The 22,286-nt window shown below is 37.2% G+C and overlaps 1 protein-coding gene across 18 annotated transcripts in view; it reads right to left on the reverse strand.

The window, feature by feature from the left end:
- Window positions 1–22,286, reverse strand: part of RB1CC1 (RB1 inducible coiled-coil 1) — a 91,978-nt gene that overhangs the window by 46,177 nt on the left and 23,515 nt on the right. For 12 of the 18 annotated variants that reach the window (XR_928826.4, XM_011517645.3, NM_001083617.2 and 9 more), the window contains exons 2-7: window positions 18,219–18,333; window positions 16,765–16,886; window positions 15,253–15,379; window positions 14,915–15,085; window positions 7,735–7,937; window positions 5,211–5,640 (exon numbers count right to left, since the gene is read on the reverse strand). Coding sequence is in view for 17 of the 18 variants with exons in the window: in XM_011517645.3 (XP_011515947.1) it covers window positions 5,211–5,640; window positions 7,735–7,937; window positions 14,915–15,085; window positions 15,253–15,379; window positions 16,765–16,835 (1,002 nt within the window). In the remaining variant the exon portion in view is untranslated. Of the gene's footprint in view, window positions 1–5,210; window positions 5,641–7,734; window positions 7,938–14,914; window positions 15,086–15,252; window positions 15,380–16,764; window positions 16,887–17,302; window positions 17,523–18,218; window positions 18,334–18,960; window positions 19,330–22,286 lie in introns of those variants that run through there. The other 6 variants (XM_017014107.3, XM_011517643.2, XM_017014104.2 and 3 more) reach the window with 4 other exon arrangements.

Below are 22,286 nucleotides of genomic sequence, written 5' to 3' on the forward strand. Positions count from 1 at the left end.
CAATTATGCTTTCTCACTCTTCCATCTCTCCTGTTCCCTGGCTCTAATTCTACACATTTGCTGAAATTCATGGAACCTATAAAATTTTCCGATAATGCTCCTGGTCCCTTAAAAAAATATTTTACCTGGCAGCCTTTCTGTCTGCGTTTTCCATAAAAACTGCTCAGCCAAAAACTACCAATGACCTTGCTTCACTTGAGGCTCTTCAACAGTTAGCATGGCAGATAACCTTTTCCCAACCTTAAAGGCTCTGGGAAGTTACTTCTACTGGTTCCTTCACAGCATCCTTTTCTGGCTCCTTTTGCTCTGTCTAATCTTTCTAAAACAGATGATTCAGAAGGATTTTGTCCTTAGCCCATTTTTACTGTTCTCAATATGATTTCAGCATTAAGTATAACTTTTCTGGAGATAACTCCCAAGTCTACTTCAATCACTGATCAGTCTCACAGATTCTCAAACTGTGTTTCTGACTGTTTACTAACATCTACATTTGGGTAGCAACCATGAAACCTTCTATTATTGACTTACTATGCTTGTTCCTAATAAAACCCTCAAATGACTTTCTTCTGCCCACAGATAATATCCAATAAATGTAGAATATAATAAAGGCTTCATTGATCTGATATCAGAAAAAAATCTTTCAAGCCTCTCATCTTTTCAAGCTGAAATGTCTATCATTTCAAGATAAACCGTGTTTTTCTATCTCTGATCTTTGTTCACAATTCTTCTATTAACTGTTTAAGTCAACCTCTCCCTCTAAAGATCCTAGTCAAATACCTCCTTCATGCTGCCTTCTCTACAGTCGGAAAAAACTGATTAATGCATAGAGTCTTGTACACAGAGAACATACAAAAGCAATTAAACTAAACTATTTTATTGTTATTATCAAGAATCCAGTGTAGTTAAGAGGGTGCATGTCTAACACTACCGAAAAAATTAACAAAACCATTATTTCAGAATAGGCACCACTAGTTTTGCACAATGTTGTCTCAACTGCTACTTGTACATTTGTGAACATTTTCTCACTTTTCTCAATTTTGTGGTAACTGAGTCCAATGTGTATGTATTTCTACACCAGAGTACTATGCACATCAAAGCCTGGTTACAAATTATTAGCATGATAAAGATGAAAACTGGTTCAAATGTTCAACCTAGGCAAAATTACAATTATACATAAACTTAACATACCAACAACTTAAACCAAAAACAAGGGCTCCTGAATACAACGTATCTGAATTTAATAATTCATTGAAAGTATAACTGCACTGACAAACATAGGAGAGTATTTTATGATTCACTAAATAGTTTACACAACTTCCTAAAAAAAATTTATTTTTGAGCCACGTTCTGGCTCTGTTGCCCAAGATAGAGTGCACTGGCATGATCACAGCTCACTACAGGCTCAAGCGATCCTACGGCCTCAGCATCCCTAACTGCTGGGACTACAGGCATGTGCCACCACAATCAGCTAATTTTTTGTAGACATGGGTATCGCCCTGTTACCTAGGCTGGTCTCAAACTCCTGGGCTCAGGCAATGGACTCCCACCTTGGCCTCCCAAAGTGCTAGGATTATAGGCATGAGTCACCGTGCCCAGCTGACTTCCTAAAATCTCACTGCACTTAATATTTTATTCCATTTGTTCACAGATAATAAAAATCTTTGAAGAAATGTTTTAAATTACATATATGTAAACCACAGAATCTCATTAGTAATTATTTAGCCAATTTTCAATAATTAACAGTCAGTGATACATTAATTTTTACTCTTGGGCTCTTTGGCATCTACAAAGGCTAACATTATTTTTAACTGAGAAAGAAACTATAAAACAAAGTTTCTTACACTCTCTATTCTTAAGCCTCTGACCTTTAAACCCACTCCCCTGCATAGATTCCTTAAGATCACAAGTTGTCTGAAAGAAATGCTAAAGCTCAATAAATTATGCTGCATTAACCTGGACAGTTTAGAAATGTGCTAAATGCAGACACTTCCAATTATTAATCGTTAGAAACACAAATCAGTGTGCCTTTTGTAGTATAAACTGAAACAGAACACTCAAGAGTCATCTTAAGGCCGGGTGCAGTGGCTCACACCTGTAATCCCAGCACTTTGGGAGGCAGAGCCAGGCAAATCAACTGAGGTGAGGAGTTCAAAGCCAGCCTGGCCAACATGGCCAAACTCTATCTCTATTAAAAAAAACAAAAATTTGCCAGGTGTGGTGGCGGGTGCCTGTAGTCCCAGCTACCCAGGAGGTGAAGGCTGCAGTGAGCCGAGATCGTGCCAGTGCACGCCAGCCTGGGTGACAGAGCGAGACTCCAACTCAAAAAAAAAAAAAGAGTCTTTTTAGCAAGAATACACTAAAATCTAAAAATATGAGTCTACGAAAATGCAGCAACAATTCTAAATTTTTTCTGACAGATAAAATGGGGGGAAAAACAATAATTTACAAAACTAGCATCTCTTAATCCACAAAAATATAAAACTAGGAATCCCATGTTAAGTGACTTATGGATGACAGATAGTAAATGAATCTCAATGCCCAGATTTGAGCCCCTGCTATTCCAATTCCAAATCCTAATTTCCAAAATACCTATGTCTCGACTAATTTCCTGAGAAAGACATTTTAATTTGCCAGTTGAAAGTACATGTTACAAAATACTGTTACAATTGGAATTAATCTGCAAAAACGATAGATTTAAACTGAATTTCCTTTTACGGAAAAAAAATCTTGGCATATATTTTTATTACTTCATTGGAAAACAGTGCTACTGCGATCAGATATCAGGTAGGTTAGTTGTTTTGGACAACCGTTTAATAAAATGAGAGTAAAAAACCATCTCCAATCAGAGAGAAATCTCATACTCGGTTCATCTTCAGAAATGCCCCTAGTCTTATCAAGAAAAAGTATAGTACTCCTGAGAGGAGAAAAATACTGATCTAATAAAAACATCATGGTAAAGTGCCATTCATTACGCAATACATCACATTTACAGATCATATACTTTGTAAAATATAAATAAATTTTTCCAAATTGGATTTTAACTGCTTCAGAATAATATATATTTTTTAACTTCAAACATTTATTTTAAATTCTGGCATACACGTGCAGCATGTGCTGGTTTGTTACATAAATGTGTAAATGTATGCCATGGTGGTTTGCTGCACAGATCATCCTAGCACCTAGGTATTAAGCCCAGCATCCAATAGCTACTCCTCCTGATAGAGTAAGTAAAAAAAAAATCTAATGGGCATATACAACTAATGAGTACTATATTATAGGCACTATTTTAAAGTCACGTTAGCTAATTTGATAACAAACAACAATAACCAAATACAAGTTTGTATTTTGCTTTTTTAATATAATGGTCATGTAAAATATCACAAAGACTTCAGATGTTGTTGCTATGCCCTATTCAATGTAGCATTAACTTCTAAAAAGAAAAAAGTGATTGCTTAGTAATAACACTATAGCTACCTTCTATTTTCTGAAGGTATAAATATTTCTGACATTTATTCTTTCATTCATTATTTAGAGATAGAGTCTCACTATGTTGCCCAAGCTGGTCTTGAACTTCTTACCTCACGTGATCCTCTCGCCTCAGCCTCCCAAGTCACTGGGATTACTGGTACAGGCCACTGTGCCTGGCTGACTTTTCATTAAGTCAGAGAATCACTGTTCCTTTCCTTTAGTCATACAAATTGAAAAAAACCTAAGACTCCGTGAAATTTCACACTGAACATGGAAATACAAAGCCGATTTCAGGTTCGCTTCATATATATAACTCTGTTTTGACATCTGGCACAGCTTAATTACAGAAAAAATGATAGGCCAGGTGCAGTGGCTCATGCCTGTAATCCCAGCACTTTGGAAGGCTGAGGCAAGAGAACTGCTTGAGCCCGGCAATCTGAGACCAGGCTAAGCAACATAGGAAGAAGACCCCGTCTGTGCAAACAATGAAAAAATTAGCTGGACATGGTGGTGTGTGCCTGTGGTCCCAGCTACTCGGGAGGCTGAGGTGGGAGGGTTGCCTGAGCCTGGGAGGTGGAGAACCAATGAGCTATAATCATGCCACTGTACTCCGGCCTGGGCGACAGAGTGAGACCCTAACTCAAAAAACAAAACAAAACAAAATACCTTAATTATTCTGATCACAATCATGTAAGCAATTATCTACAATCATAAATGGAATTTTCAGGCCACTACATTGTCAATAGTTTAAGCAGGAACACTAACTTTAATTCATTTTTGGCAGTGATCAATCTTTGCATAACATATTACATACTTCTCTGGCAAACATGTCTTAATTGAAAGAAATGCTTAGCCTACAGAATGTCATCAAGAAACTGGATACTGAAAGAATGACAAAACCTAGATTTTTTGTTTTCCATTTTACTATATCCTATAACTTTAACAGCAATGTATGTATTCTTTTTTAGGCATCCCAGACAATGTGCTATCCTGCTCTAAATAGTGAATCAAAGATGAACTCTTCTTCGACTGCATGCTCCTTGAAAAGTTTAACTATTTTTAACAATTATCTTTTGACAACAGCAGCCTTCACAACATTATTTAACATTTCTGTAACAATGAAACATGCCCCATCAACTTCCTTCCTGGTGTCAAAGATTTTGCATCAGTTTGCAGATCAGATATGAAGGGGTATTTATTCCTCAGGTTTAAAAGGTTTTCAGGTGTGCTGGAGAAGACCTTAATCCAAAATACAAGCTCACTATAACTATAAAACACAACTAAAAAATACAGTGTCTACGTTTCGAATTTTAAAGATCTCAGGCAGATGCAGCATTTGAAATTTCTTCTTTAAAAGTCAGAAAGAAGTTGCCTCTAAGGAAATAGTGACTGGAAAGAGTCACACGGGGACTTTCTGGGCAATGAAATTTTCATTATCTTAATTTGTGTGGTGGTTATTTCTTGCATGAACCACTCAAGACCTGTGTAGTTTACTGTATGTAAATTATTCTTATTGCACTAGAAATTTTTCCTATTAATCTCAAATAACCTTCACAAATTTACAATCAATTCATAAATAAAATTATGAATTAAATTGATTCAACCTATGTTAAAAGTTTCACTCCAAGACTCATTTATTTCTACTAAAAGGTAATACCCATTCTCTCAGTACATAAAATATTTAGGATAAATAATATAAAGTAGTAAAATGACAAAACAAACATCAAATTAACGTTACTTACCCTGCTCATAGAATCAAAGCACTTCCTGACCAAAGATTCCACATCATTAGGTCTATCTTGAACATTTATCCAGTCTAACAAAGAGACATTAAAAAAGGGCAGATCACCATCTTTAGTGTCAATCGTAGTTTCATCTTGCTGATGAACAGTACTTTGACAAGATTCCCTAATTTCTTTGCCACTTTCAGCATCTGCGGTATCTGGGGACACATGTTCCACTGACTTGGGAAATGAGGTTAACAAAGATTCGTTAGTTGTTCTAGGCATATCAGGAGAGAGCACCAGTTCAGTGGATCTTTTCATCTCAGCTTTTTCTGAGTCTTCATGTTCAGGTAAAGAATCCAGTCTTCCCAAACATTCTCTGTAACTATGTCTGGTTAGGCACTCCAACAGTGGAATCTTGGCCATTACTGAAACTGCAGTTCCTAAACTTAAAATACAAAAGATCTGTCAGTAAAACTATGAGACTGCTCTAATTAGGAATTAGCATGTTTGAATGAAATCACATATTATTATACACACAAATCTCACCACCTCTCCATAACATTATACATACATAAACTAGTCTATGAGCTAGCTATTCACTAAAAGTCTAGTTTAGCAGAGAGAGGCTATCGTTAACCCATTAAAATATCACTCTAGGGCTGGGCGTGGTGGCTCACACCTGTAATGCCAGCACTTTGGGAGGTGGAGGGCAGCAAATCATTTGAGGTCAGGAGTTTGAGACCAGCCTGGCCAACACGGCAAAACCCAGTTCTACTAAACGTACAAAAATTAGCCGAGTGTGGTGGCAGGCACCTGCAATCCCAGCTACTCAGGAGGCTGAGGCACAAGAATCGCTTGAACCTGGGAGGCGGAGGCTGCAGTGAGCTGAGATGGTGCCACTGCACTCCAGCCGCCTGGGTGACAGAGCAAGGCTCCGTCTCAAAAAAAAAAAAAAAACACTCTAAAGTAAAGTAGCTATACTAAACAAGTGAACACTAGGCTTTTACAAAACCTTAAAGATGTAACAAATTTAAATTTACAAAAAGATTCACCATAGCAGTATCTTAGAATATAACCTTATGGCCTTAAGTAAATCAAATATATTTGATATATTCAAAGCACAGGATAAAAATAACAATCCTAATGAAGATAACTCTTGTACTCATAACACCCTGAAAACAGGTTTATGTTGTCAAAAGCATAGGGAAAATATGAAATCCTGGTGATTTAACTTCTATAAAATGATGTGCAATATGATGTAGGTCCCTACTTTAAACTGATACAGCTAACAGAACCCTTAGAAAGTTACTGGAAAAGGTTCTCATTTAAACTTTAAAAAGATCTTTCTAGTCTTAATGAATCCTTCTCTTTCCTCTCAAGATTTTTCCATTTTTAAGGCCAAAAACTAATATTCATACCACAAAACAGAGAAATCTGAATTTAAAAGGTTACCCAAATTTAAAAAAATCAAAGAAACAAAAAGACAAAGATTAAAACCAGAACATGCTACTTGCCTCTAATGCAAGGTCAAGATAATTAAAAGAAAAAAAAATCTACAGATCCAAAACAAAAAACCTGAACACAAAATGCTAAAAGCATATGCACACACACACAATAAGGGTTAGTTTCATGCTGAATTACCATTATATTTTCAGGTTAACTACAGCCCTTTTAAAAAAAGAATCAATGTGTATTAAATGTACTTCTATGCAAAGAACTAAAACTTGCCATCTTAATGAGCATTGAAAACACATGGGCTGGCCAGGTGCAGTGGCTCACGCCTGTAATCCCGGCACTTTGGAAGGCCAAGGCGGGTGGATCATGAGGTCAGGAGATCGAGACCATCCTGCCTAACACGGTGAAACCCCATCTCTACTAAAAATCCAAAAAAAAAAAAAAAAAAAAAAATTAGCTGAGCGTGGTGGCGGGCACCTGTAGTCCCAGCTACTTGGGAGGCTGAGGCAGAAGAATGGAGTAAACCTGGGAGGTGGAGGTTGCAGTGAGCTGAGATCACACCACTGTACTCCAGCCTGGGCAACAGAGCGAGCCTCCGTCTCAGAAAAAAAAAAAAAAAAAAGAAAAGAAAACAGACAACACAAGGGCTTTTTTTCCACCTCATCAAACCTGTATCAGGATGGCAATATTTACAAAGAACTTAAAATTTTCCTCCATTGTCCAGTGTTTGATAATGTGCCTATTTCTGTTAGATGTTATTTTTCACATCTTGCCTTTTGTTTAGTGGACAAGACATAAGCAAAGATTCTTGGTTTTATAAATGATTTCAAAAGTATTTGGAGCCTTATTACAAGTAAAACAACCCAAGAGAAAGAAATGTGGGAGACTCATACATGTAAAGAGAATTATCATTTTTTAAATTAAAAACTATAACCTACAAATCACTATCAGAAAAGGCTCAAAGAATAAACCTCAGTTACAATAAATATATGGCCTATAAGAAACAAATTTGCAGTAATTAAACCTACTGATAAATTTCAAAGGCATTTTAAACAAATATTATCCATTTTAATGGCAAACATACTGAGTAAGTTTTAACTTGATGTCTTCTATGGACTGCAGATAATTTGAATAAATACTTTCAAACTTGAAAAGTAGCTTTTGGTATGAATTTGAACAGTCCTCCAGGTTGGCCATGATTGCAGCCCAGCCTTGGTGTTGAAGATGTTCATCATGTACAAGACCTTCACAAAAAGAACAAAGTTTCTTGGCAACTTCATACATTTCCTATATTGAAAAAGAATACAAAAGAAAGTAAAAGAAGGCAATGGTTTGTTTGCAGAAGTTTGCATATGTTTACAAACATGTACGTGTGGATGCGTTGTAGAGCACATTTAACAAAGTATTTCAAAGGACTGTTTTAGTTTATCTCTGTTCTCTTCTGTAAAAGACAGCCTAAACATAAGTGAGGTGTTTCCGAGCAGGTATCCTAAGAGACAGTCAAAAGAAGAATCCATAAGACGCTACCTCTGAAAAACAAAGGAGTAGGGCTTTCAATTATTTGACTAATGATCAACATCTGCCATCTCAAATGTCACTGTCCTCTGGTATTATCTCAAGACATTCATGTTAAAAACAATTTTTGGTGAAGGCAAAGCTAAAATACGTCATCTACTTCTAGATTAGTATAACTATAACAGATTTAGTAACCCTAAATGAGATTCTAGAAAATATTTAAGCAGTGAAAATACCTTCAGAAAATAGACATCTGACATTCAGTTCCAAACAATGAAGTACAAAAATATTTATTAAGGATAAATTACAAGGCAGCAATGTAGATTGCTTTATATATGGAGATATATAAAGAAGTCCACTGTTATAAAATATTTTAGTTGGCAAGGAAATAAGACAGATCATTCTACCTTTGTTAACTGGTATGAGACAGATATAAAAGTCACAAAAGAGACAGGAAATGAGAAGTCAAAGTTAACTGAAGGCATTTAACTTAAGTATAAAGGTATGAAAAGAATATGAACAAAGATAGGGAAAGAAGTACTTCAAAAGAGTGGAACACGAAGTGGCAAAGACAGGAAATATGAAGCACTATTGGTTAAGAACAAATGGTCTGGAGGAAAAAGCGAGAGAAAGAGGGCCAGATGATCAAAGACCCAGAAGATACTAAGGTAAGGAAGGAGGAATTGGACTTTACTCAGAAAAGACCTCCTCAAGAACTCTTTAACATGAAGAATGTAATCAAATAGAAGCTTTAAGAAGACTGATAATACAGAAAATGTCATAAGGTGGAACGGGAAGGCACCTGAAAGAATGGATGTAAAATGATTATTTTTAAGTTGTCCAGGCAAACTGTAAAAAAGCTACTGTAAGTTATCTAGTTACCAAAGTAAATAAGTAAGATGGTCTTTATGGGGTAGGAATGTCAGTAAAATGATTATGTGCCATGTCAATTAATGTCAATTAATCAATCATGCTGCCACTAAAATAGAGTGGGGAAAAAAACTCTGGAATTATGAAATAACAAATAAAATGTTTTCAGATTTTTTTAAACAGATGAAAGAGAGGTGACACCCTTGAAATGACGAGTAAAAGAGCTGTTGGGTACATTAAAGCAAGAAGTTCTTGCAGCGCATGTAGAAAATGTAGGAGGAAGATTCTTAAACACACAAAAGATGGAGGATATAAAATATTCAAATGTTTCAATTTTATGAATTGTTAAAATTTATAAATGTAAAATAAGTTCAACTGTAGCACTGTTTACTAGGAAAATAAATTTATGATATTTCAAAAATGGGAGTACCTTGCAACAATGAAAAAGGAATAATATATATAGTATGGGCCGGGTGCAGTGGCTCTCACCTGTAATCCTAGTACTTTGGGAGGCTGAGGCGGGCGATCACCTGCGGTCAGGAGTTTGAGGTCAGCCTGGCCAAGATGGTGAAACCCATCTCTACCAAAAATACAAAAATTAGCTGGGTGTGGTGGCACGTACCTGTAATCCCAGCTACTGGGGAAGCTGAGGGAGGAGAATCACTTGAACCCAGGAGGCAGAGGTTACAGTGAGCCAAGATCGCACAACTGAATTCCAGCCTGGGTGGCAAGAGCGAAAACTCCAACTCAAAAACAACAACAAAAAAAGTATAGTATGCTTTCATTTATTTGGGGAGGCTAAGGTCAGTTAGAAATGTGAAACAACAGAGGTATGAGAGAGAAATGCATTTTGTGTGTATATCAAAGTCTAGGAAAATGCAAAACAAATGTTCCACCATCATTAAGATGGAGTGGGGGATGCAACGAAAGAGGAAGTATTTTCTCTATATATTTTGCTGATATATTTGCTGATATATTTGGCTGATAAGGATGCCAAAATTATGACCATTCTGTTTTAGAAGATAATATTGTTAATGAACAAATTTAGGTGAAAAGAAATATCTTTACAGGTAAAATATGAAAGTTTACTTTCTGGAAGTACAATGATATGAATGTAAAGAGCACTGGCCTTGGAGAAAAGAGGTTCTTCTTCTCCCTGGCTATCTGGCCTTGAAGAAATGACTTATCTTCACCTGTTCTTAATTCCATATGTGTATAAGAAAGGGCTAATAGTTTCAGTTGTAAGATAATGAAGTAAAGATGTCTTTGCCTGCTTCTCCTTCATGAAACCAACCAAATACAAAAGGGAAACAAGACACCATCTTGATGAAACCAGGAAACAACTACCACCCCACACATACAATATATGCAGCAAACCTGTGAAGAATATGAAAACTGATCAACTTGGGTCAAATAAAAAGGGCACCCACTGTGAAAGAATAACAAATCTCGGGAACCCAAAATCACTAAGCCAATGGAAAAATCAAGCTGGGAACTATGTCAGGCAAACCTGCCTCCAATTTTATTCCTAAATAAGATAGCTACAAAGATAAGAAAGCTACATACCTCCCTCACAATTTTGCCACAGGGAAATTTCTTGTAGGCTTCAAGATCTTTAACCTAAAACAGTTCTGCTGAATTTCACCTTCACAATGTAAACTGACAGCATATCTTCATATGTGCGGGACAGAAAGTCACACCTCTGCTGACCTGAAACAAAGGCCTATCTGCTTCCTCTGTCTTACTGTTTATTGTTTATGTAAAAATGCAGATGCACTGAGCCAGACTAAATTATGTATTGAGTGAAAGGCTGATCAAGGACTCGAAAGACCCCGCTTCGAGTTATCCTGCCCTTCTGAACCAAACCAATGTACTTCTTACACATAATCATGTCTCATGTCTCCCTAAAATGTATAAAAGCAAACTGTACCCTGACCACCTTGGGCACATGTTACCAGGACCCCCTGAAGCTATGTCTTGGGTGTGTCCTTAACCTTGACAAAATAAATTTTCTAAATTGATTGTGACCTGTCTCACGATAATTTAGGTTCACACCACTATTGCAGACATTTAGCAAAACTTGGGAGAACTGAATCCTCCTTGTGGGAAGCTTGGGTGGACAGCAAGAACCTCTTGGGGCCCTATCTGAAATTAGAGAGTAGCAGAAGAAATAATACCTATTTATGTTACATACTTGCAAAAAGCCAAAGGAAAAAACGTGAGAAAAAGCCCTAGAACTGCTAAATTTTGTCCAAGGAGAAGGACAAAATAAGTCATCTCCATCCCTCTCTTACACATATAGATTCTGCTTCTAACTGGGGATCCCCTGTGATCCAGGGCAGCTTCCTGCTCACCAGGAAGTGCTATCTTATACCCTTTCCTACACTGTCTTATAGAGGAATAATTCTATTCATTCAAACACAAGCAAAAATTTTAACATGAAATCTACACTAAATTACCCTAATTTAGTGTAGAAAAAAAGAATTAAAAGTAAAAAAAACTAAATGCAGAAAAACTTTCTCCAAGAGCAAATGGAAATTATAACCAAATTCTTTTCCTAAGAACTTGGTCTAATTTTGCTTTATAAAAAAGAACTCAACACAGAGATTTAGCTCAGGAAATAAGTTAAAAAGAAACGTATCACTGATTGAAGGCTACACTGGAAGAAGACACGGCTGAAAACAGAGAAGTCTAAATCAAGCTTTAACAACCAAGACAAGTGAAATTAATAGAATTACCATGTAAATGATAGCTAATATATGGAAGAAAAAAGACAGTGTGCACTGAGTCCATTTCAAGATGAAATCTGAAAGAACTATGGACATTTCGGTACAGAAGAGATTGCAGAAGTAGAAGAGAAGACAGATTTAACACTGTCAAAGTATTCTGATTTCTCTACACTACAGTAGTCAAAAGAATGTACTAGGACATTCACAGCAGGTTTAGTCACAATAGTTGAACACTGGAAACAATCTCAATACCTACTAGTAGCAGAACAGATTTAAAAAAAAACTGTGGCATATTCGTACAATAGAATACAATGCAGCAAAGAATACAAACCACGGATACATGCAACAGCATGAATCATTCTCAGGAACATCATGTTGCGTAAAAGAGGCTAGACACAAAAGAACAGAAACTACATTATTCCATTTATTTACATTCAAAAAGAGACCAAGTAATGTTGGTTTAGAAGTCAAGATACTGGTTAGCATTAATGAACAGGGAGGATGAAAACTGATGGGGAGAAAGTCCTAAGTAGGGCTTCTGGGTTGAAACTATTTGTTTTTGTGGGGTTTTGTGTGTGTGTGTGTGTGTGTGTGTGTTTTTTTTTTTTTTTGAGATGAAGTCTCACTCTGTCACACAGGCTGGAGTGCAGTGGTGCGATCTTGGCTCACTGCAACCTCTGCCTCCTGGGTTCAAGCAATTCTCCTACCTCAGCCTCCCGAGCAGCTGGGACTACAGGCACATGCCAGCATGCCCGGCTAATTTTTGCATTTTTTTTTTAAGTAGAGACAGGGTTTCACCATATTAGTCAGGCTGGTCTCAAACTCCTGACCTCATGATCCGCCTGCCTTGGCCTCCCAAAGTGCTGGGATTACAGGCATAAGCTACCACACCTGAAACTATTTTTATCAATGTGTTCATTGTGAAAATTCACTAAGAATGGATGTACAATTATGGTTTGTGCATTTTTCAGTATATCTCAATAAACAAAAATCTATTCTTAAATTTACCAATAAGGTAAATGAGTAAAAGGTCACACCACAGGTAAATGAAGTAATCAGACATAAACTCAGAAAATCTGACTTTAGAGACCACATCCCGGACCATGAAGAAATATCACCTCTAATTCCTCACATAATGAATTGATTAGACCTATGTTACTGTTTTGGTTATAGCAGCTTTAGAATTTGTTTTATAAATCTGAAAAGAGGGCAGGCATGGTGGCTCAATGTATTTTATAAATCTGAAAAGAGGCCAGGTATGCTGATTCACGCCTATAATCCCAGCACTTAGGGAGGCCAAGACAGGAGGATCATTTGAGCCCAGGAGTTTGAGACCAACCTCGGCAACGCAGTGAGATCCTGTCTCTATATAATAAGTCAATAAAATACCTAATGTAAATGACAAGTTGACGTTGGGGAACCACCGCCTAGATTTCAGAAGATGTACGGAAACGCCTAGATGCCCAGGTAAGTTTGCTGCAGGGGCAGGGCCCTCATGGAGAACCTGTTAGGGCAGTGTAGAAGGAAAATGTGGGGTCGGAGCCCCCACACAGAGTCCCTACTGGGGGCACTCCCTAGTGGAGCTCTGAGAAGAGGGTCACGGTCCTCCAGACCCCAGAATGGAAGACCCACCAACAGCTTGCACTGTGCACCTGGAAAAGCCACAGACACAACGCCAGCCTGTGAAAGCAGCCGGGAGGGAGGCTGCACCCTGCAAAGCCACAGGGACAGAGCTGCCCCAAGTCCATGGGAACCCACCTCTTGTATTAGTGAGACCTAGATGTGAGACCTGGAGTCAAAGGAGATGATTTTGGAGCTTCAAAACTTGGCTGCCATGCTGGATTTCGAACTTGCATGGGACCTGTAACCCCTTTGTTTTGGCCAATTTCACCTTTCGCCTCCTGCCATAATTCCGAGGCCTCTTCAGCCACGAGGAACTGTTAAGTCCAATTAAACCTCTTTTTCGTCCCAGGCTCGGGTTATGTCTTTATCAGCAGCATGAAAACAGACTGATATAGAATGCTTGGTATCTGAATCTCAGATTACTATTTATGTATTTAAAAAATATTTTAAATATGATGCATTAAAAGAGAAATAATGCCAGCTTATATTTAATTCCTGATATACGTATTTCTGACATTTTATCTTTTCTTTTTACTTTCTTGTTTTCATTCTTTCGTTGAATATAGTTTTAATTGCTCTTTCTAATCACTTGAAAATTATATATCCTAGTTATCCTTTAACTTATTTTCATATTTAATACTTTCTCTATCAAAATGTAGTATGTACACTTTTCAACCAAATCAAAAAAACAACTCTAAAAGATTCTATTATGTAAATTCAGTTTACATAAGTATATTTTTTAAAATTTTGTCCTCTCAAAGCACTTTTGGACTCTCAAATGTTTATTAAATATGTTTCACACAGATGAGGTTATTTCCTTTTAATGTTGTATCCTATGTGAAAAATGGGGGTATTTGTACAAATGTATATACTGCTTAAAACAAATCTCTAAGAGTTTTACTAATTAAAGCTAATGTTCAGTAATGTTATTTATTTTTACAAAAGGTAAATACTATTATTTCATTGGTTCTAACACATTTTTTCCATGATTAAAAGAAAAATGTAGCTTACCACTGATAGCTTAATGTCAATGATATTACTAGAAGGTAAATAGTAAATTAAAAAGGAAAATCAAATGACTGGGAAACAATCCGTGGGAACTGCAAGTAGCAGTGTTAAGAGCTATATATTAGAAAGAAACCTAATTCTCCTCCAGGAACTAACCACAAATATGGAAAAAATAAATACATTTTTAGAGCTATTTAAGTTCTCTTTGTTAACATCTACTCTAACGTAGGTCCTTTATTAATTAATGTTCAAAAGTAACTATTTACATATTATCTAGGAAAGAAGGTGACCAAATCATGTTAAGACAGCTTTTCCACTCTAAAATACTGTCATTATCAAAGTAGAATAACTAGCAATGTATGACCCAGAAATTTTAAAACTAGATATATTAACCGGAAAATATTTTTAAAGTTTATTTGTCAAACTTTTTGCATACTTCCTATGCAATTTAGACTACTGTGCTATTTAGATCCGAATGCTTTTAGAAACAATCAGTTAAAATAATTGTTTATATCTTACCAATGCAAGCTGTGTCCTTGAAGCAACAGTATGAAAAACTGCAGGCATCATAAGAGATTCTTCAACTTTTATTTCCATGTCATTTTCTGTCGAAAAGGTAGTTTTAGGAATAGCAGGTGGACGATCACATAAGATCATTTCTTTGTTAAAAAGAAAAATTGGATTTGTATCCTATATTTTTTAAAAAAGGAGAAATAACCAAAATAAAATGTTATAAATACTGAGCGTGCACATTGCCTTCAATATATGAAGCAAATAAACCTTACTTTTGAACACTGAGTTCCCAATGTGATGTAAAGATGTTGCATTCTTGTGTGAAAGGACTCTTGAATACCTACCGTCCCAGCACTGTAGGTACACACTCTTCGATCTGCAGCCATGCATTCTCCTCCATTGACCACCAGCACCTGGTGTTGAATAGCAATCTTGTATTTGCTTTGAATGGCATGCTTAAGGTCTGCCACACTTCAAAAAATGAAATAAAATAAATCAGTTGTTTATATTTGCCCAATGACTTTATTTTCCAAGTAGTACTATGTAAAAACACCTTAGAGGTTAATGAATTTCACTCTAAAACCTTCCCCAAAAACAGTAATAAAAATATAAGCTTCCTATTTAATGAACAGGATTCCATAACAACTGGCTGATCTTAGGTAAATAACAGCAAAAGAATATGCTCAAACTGGTTATCAGGTCTATTAAAATCCTCAGGCTACATAATTTTTGTTAAAATCTCCACACGTTTTAGAAACTACATTAAGTCTAACACATGTGAAGATTCCTTCCTATCCCTATCTTCCAAAAAATCATTCATGTAAGTGTAAAATCAAGTTTAATGAAAACTAATTCTGGAAAAAAAATCCATAATTCAATTTTTACAACAAAGATTATTATTTCACACACTATTTATAATAATTCCAATGTCAGTTTTATTCTGCATTGCCATAAAGTCTTTGCTATTATGGTCACTATAAAAATATAAACAGCGTTGGAAATGATATTTACTACTTCTATTTCTTTCCTGTCCTGTCAAGCCAGAGAATTATTAGATACCTGAGTCCCACTAAATTTGGATGAAAATATTAAATTTATCTTTTCTCTCCTTAACAAACAAAATAAACCTATTGACATTTATTCATAAACTGAATAAAAACAAATGACCAAAAACCATGGAAGTGATATACATTGTTTTATGAAGCTTCCGATAATTCCCTTAACAATGGCCTGTGAAAAATAGAATAGCAATTGACTATAGGTACTTACAACAATGGAAATCAGTTTGTTTTGTGTGAGTAGATCTGTTTACTGATCTGTTTACTGTTTACATGAATATTATATTCATGCCAACAGGACAAAGCACAATTTAAAGAATGTAACTAGTCTTTTAGAGAAAGATAACAATTACATATAAAATATGTTGGGATAAAAGATTTAAGACTTGCCATTATGTGACCTTTTTTTTTTTTTTTTTTGAGACAAGAGTCCTGCTCAGTCGCTGGGCTGGAGTGCAGTGGTGCGATCTTGACTCACTGCAACCTCTGCCCCCCGGGGTTCAAGTGATTCTCCTGCCTCAGCCTCCCGATTAACTGGGACTACAGGCATGCGCCACCACACCCAGCTAATTTTTGTATTTTTAGTAGGAACGGGGTTTCACCATGTTGGCCAGGATGGTCTCGATCTTTCTTGACCTCGTGATCCGCCCGCCTCAGCCTCCCAAAGTGCTGGGATTACAGGCGTGAGGTACCGCACCCGGCCGCCATTATCCTACTTTTTAAACAGTAGAATAATATTTCTTTAACTTTCTGCATGCAGACAGAATGCGAAAAAAAAATAAATGAAATACAACTCACGTTTGCACTGTAAGTTCAGTGTCAAATGTTAGAGTAGTTCCAGTGTTAACCAGAAATACATATAACTTCATGATGATTTATCTGAATTCTGTGAGCTTATACCTCACCCTCTGATACAGTTACTAGAAGAAACAAGAGAAGTGATCAATTTTACAAATGCAACTACAATCACAAATACTATCATCATTATGACACAGTACAGTATTACTATATAAATAACAAAAATATCAAAATGGGCTTTGATGTCTAGGATGGCTAACTGGATAGTTCAGTAAACTCAATGCTTAAAAAAAAATAAAAATAAATAGTAATGAGTTTAGTGAAAAGAAAAGCATAACTGTTCTGCCACAGGAAAAAAAGTTTGATTCTTCAAGAAGTAAAAGGCCAGTAGCTAGAGTAAAGGTTGCTATGTGCATATTTCACTCAGTGTTTTACATTAAGAATAAAACAGTTGGTCAATCATCTTATCCCTGAGAGTTTTCCCCCCACTTCTTCCTCAACATAATAAAAAATAGATTAGTATTAAGGTTAAACTTACTAATCGCAAATTAAGAGTAGCCGTTACTTGCAAATTAGGGGAAATGAATCCCAATTCCTTCCATCATCTGTGTTTCACCTCTACACTGAGCTAGAAATCCTCCATAATAGTTCCATCACTTCCATCAGCTGCCTGTTGAACTGCTTTTCACCTCTACACTGAGCAAGAAATCCTCCTTAATAGTTCCATCACTTTGTGTAACAGTAGCAAGTGTACAGGTCTGGAGATCAGAATATTTAAAACAACTCTGTGATTAACATGCCCAAGGAAAAACCTCATCTAGAAAATAAAGCTTTTTCATCTATAAAATGAGGATAACATACACAACAAGCCACAGTGGCTCATGCCTGCAATCCCAGAACTTTGGGAGGCCAAGGCAGGAGGATCACTTGAGGCCAGGAGTTCAAGACTAGCCTGGGCAACACAGCAACACCCTGTCTGCACAAAATGTTTAAAAAAATTAGACACACTTGGTGGCGCATGCCTGTGGTCCTAGCAACTTGGGAGGCTGAGGCAGGAGGATGGCTTGAGCCAAGGAGTTCAAGACTGCAGTGAGCTACGATTGTGCCACTGCACTCCAGCCTGGGCAACAGAGAAAGGCCCTATCTCAAAAGAAAAAGAGAAAGAAAAAAAACTTAAAATAATGACATAAAAAGGGGACAGATTTCATGGTCTAGCATTTTACTTTCAACAAATGGAGGAAAAGATCCATAAGATTAATGAAACTGGTGAACGATAACTATAAATAAATTCCCAGAAAGTAGTAGGTACCTTTACTTATGCTCTTTCCACATAAGCCTTAGAGAATTATTAGAGAAGGAAAAAGCAAATAAGGTTTTAAAATTAAGATTTCCAGAATCATTATTTTAAAGGCAATAGATTAAACTCTGCTATACAGGTAGAAACTGTGACTTACCGTCAGGCACTGTGAAAAGGACTACCACTTTTCTTAAAAAGTAGATTAAAACTGGCTTATGTTTGCTTTGCTTGAGATTGGCAACTGAATGGCATTACTGGTTAAACTCAGAAAACTGGAAAAGAAAAATTTCTGGTTATAAAGAGAAACAATTCAGTACGAAACAACATATGGCTATTGTTCCTTTCTTCCTTTTAAAACTACCGTCTAAGAATAATCTCTACTCAGGCCCTTCTACTTGCACATTCACTATAATAACAACCACATGACTTCAACCCACATCAATCCATGGCATCAAACAAAAGTCACCAATAAATTCCTCAAAACGGCCATTTCCACAACAATTCCTCATTCCTTAAAATATTATGGTAAAGAAGTATCCAGGCAGTGGAGTTAGAAAGCTTGGGTTTGGTTTGGGGTCCATTACTTGCAATTATATGATCTTGGACAACTGTTTTGGCTTCCTCTTTTGTAAATAGGAATAAAAATGGCACCTGCAGCAGACAGCCTCTAAGACAGCAGCAATTATCTGTACCACATCCACCTACTGTATTCATACTCCAGTGAAATCCCCACCCTCAAGTGTAGGCAGGGCCTGTGATCTGTTTCTAACCAAAAAAATATTGCAAAAATGATGGGATATCATGTAGGTAATCGTTACTTAAGATTATAACTCCCATCTTGCCAGCTGACTCTCTCTTGCCAGCTTTGATGAAGCAAGCTGCCATATAGAGAGGCCCACCTGATAAGGAATTGAAGATGGCCAGCTAGCAAGAAGCTACAGTCTCAGTCTGACAATTCTCAAGGAACTGAATCTTGACAACCACCACAAGCCCATAAGCAGATCCTTTCCTAGTTGAGCCTCAGAGAAGACCTCAGCCCTGGCCAACACTTTGACTGAAGTCTTGCAGAGACCCAAAAGGGCCCAGTGAAGCCATGCCCAGAATCTATAAAATAATAGATTTATGTTGCTTCAAACAATCAAGTTTACTGTAATTTCTCACTCAACAATAGATGATTAATATAACACAACCATATCACAGGGATATTAGGAGGATGTTGTTGTGGGAAGTCAGGGACCCCAAACAGAGCGACCAGCTGGAGCCACAGCAGAGGAACATAAATTGTGAACATTTCATGGACATTTATCAGTTGCCAAATAATACTTTTATAATTTCTTATGCCTGTCTTTAATCTCTTAATCCTGTTATCTTCGTAAACTGAGGATGTACGTCATCTTAGGACCACTGTGATAATTGTGTTAACTGTACAAATTGATTGTAAAACATGTGTGTTTGAACAATATGCAATCAGTGCACCTTGAAAAAGAGCAGAATTAACAGCGATTTTTAGGGAACAAGGGAAGACAACCATAAGGTCTGACTGCCTGCAGGGTCAGGCAAAAAGAGCCATATTTTTCTTCTTGTAGAGAGCCTATAAACATATGTGCAAGTAGGAGAGATGTTGCTAAACTCTTTTCCTAGCAAGGAATATTAATACCCTGGGAAAGGAATGCATTCCTGTGGGGAGGTCTACAAATGGCTGCTCTGGGAACGCCTGTCTTATGCGGTTGAGATAAGGACTGAGATACACCCTGGTCTCCTGCAGTACCCTCAGGCTTACTACGGTGGTGGGGAAAAACTCCGCCCTAGTAAATCTGTGGTCAGACTGGCTCTCTGCTCTCAAACCCTGTTTTCTGTTGTTTAAGATGTTTATCAAGGTAATACATGCATGGCTGAACATAGACCCTTATCAGTAGTTCTGCTTTTGTCTTTTGTCCTGTTCCCTCAGAAGCATGTGATCTTTGTTAGACTCTTATTAGTTCTGCTTTTTGTCCTTTGAAGCATGTGATCTTGTACCTACTCCCTGTTCTTACACCCCCTCCCCTTTTGAAACCCTTAATAAAAACTTGCTGGTTTTGAGGCTTATGCGGGCATCACTGTCCTACCGATATGTGATGTCGCCCCCGGCGGCCCAGCTGTAAAATTCCTCTATTTATACTGTCTCTCTTTATTTCTCAGCCGGCCGACACTAATGGAAAATAGAACCTACAGTGAAATATTGGGGGTGGGTTCCCCCAATAGGATGTCAAAGAAAAAATGTGGTACTTGGCAGATAAGTCAACTCTCCAAAGTTTGGGAGGGATCTCAGCCGCCTTACCTTTGTAGTAGAGCTCACTTACTCCCATAGCTGCTGCTACCACCACTGTTGATTGCTGACTCCCAAATCTCTCCTAAACTATCTATCCAATCCCTCTGAAACTCAACAAATCCAAATCAATCTCCTATATGCATTTCTTCAACATTATTGTTTCTAAAACTGAGCTCTGCCCCTTAAATCTCCTTGCTTTAATTTTTCATTTCTCTTTGTTGATGAAGTCTAGATTCACCCAATCTCTCACATATTATCCTAGATTTGTCTTCCTCCTAAAAGACATACGAACATCAGCAAATTTGTCCTGTAAATTCTAACATTTAAATACTTAATGACACGATATCCCTATTTCTATCCCTACTGCCTTAAATCAGACCCTGTTTTCAACCTGCACTGATTTCCTCAATCACTAGTCCGTCAACCTCCATGCTGCCTTCAAAGAAATCTTCCTACATGCTAGGTAGGTTGATCCAAGTTTTTCTGCTGCTTTAAAACTCAAGACGATTATGACTTTTAGGGCAGCAGCTACCACTTTGTATTCATTATATTCCAGGAAACTATTCTAAATGCTTTATTAAATGACAATAACACCTAAGACAGCAAATATAATATGCTCTTCCTTTCCACCACAACTTTTCACCCTCATCCTCTACCCCTCCCCCAACTTATCAGTCCCAAATATCACACTGCTTGAACTCCCTAAACAAATCGAGCTGCTAAAGTCTCTGAGTCTTCATGGGGCAGTTTTCCACGCTTAGGATTCTATTTGCCCTGCCTGCTATGATCACCCCTTCCACCTGCCCTAGCCTCATACACATCTTCTTCCAGACTCAAGAGAACTGCTTGAACTGGGAGGCGGAGGTTGCAGTGAGCTGGGATCGTACCACTGCACTCCAGCCTAGGCGACAGAGCCAGACTCTTTCTCAAAAGAAAAAAAAAAGGCAGTATCTACAGCCAGGGAAAGTAGGCATAATTATCATAAATGTGATACTTTCTAAGAAATATGTGGAGAGTGACAGGGAACTATGAAACGCACTTAACAGATTGACAGAAGACTGGCCAGAAGGTGCAGACCTAGAAAAGTCATGCAGATCTGAGAGATGTTAACAAAAGGAAGCTAGAGATAAACAGGAATCAGATGACTGTATTAAATAAAGATTTGCTGAATGAATGAGTGAATGAATACCAAATCCAAAAGCATAGGCTTTATCTTACAGCTTTATCTTACAGGAGGCATTTTGTTTTCTCAGAGATTAGGTAGCTAAGGGATGCTGACTAAAGTGGAAGGAATATTCCTTCATTCATTCATTCATCCAAATCCAAAACACGTGTATTGATATTATGTGCCAGGACTGGGTATTCTGTGGGGGAAAAAACAGACATAGTCTTTGTCCTCATGGAGTTCAGTCTTGAAGGAGAAAGCAGCATTAAACAAGAACAAAGCAAACATGATATAAGCTGTAATCAACGCACAAAAGAAAAGAGTGGGTAGGAAGAACGACTTACTTTAGATTTATGTGATCAAAGGAGGCCTCTACGTGGGTTACATTTAAACGGTATTGTTGGGATAAGAAGAGGCCTGAACTGAGAAGATGTAAAGCAGTACAAGGAGACACACCATTTTTGTGAGACTAAACACAAAATCTTCAATAATAATCACTGTATTGTTTTTTGTTTTCTCGTTTTCCTTTGAATATTATCTTTTGTTTTGATATAATTCCAGTTAGAGAAAAATTACAAGAATAGTACAAAGAACTCCCGTCCCCCTTACTCAGATCACCAACTGTGAACACTTGTGTTCTATTTATCACTTGTGTCAGTGCACACTCCATACATGCTCTCTCTCCACATACGTATACACACAGGGATATATTTTTTCCTGAACTACTGTAATTTGCAGACAGAATTTCCCTT

The sequence above is a fragment of the Homo sapiens genome, chromosome 8 (assembly GCF_000001405.40).
Source record: "Homo sapiens chromosome 8, GRCh38.p14 Primary Assembly".
Taxonomy (NCBI): Eukaryota; Metazoa; Chordata; class Mammalia; order Primates; family Hominidae; genus Homo; species Homo sapiens.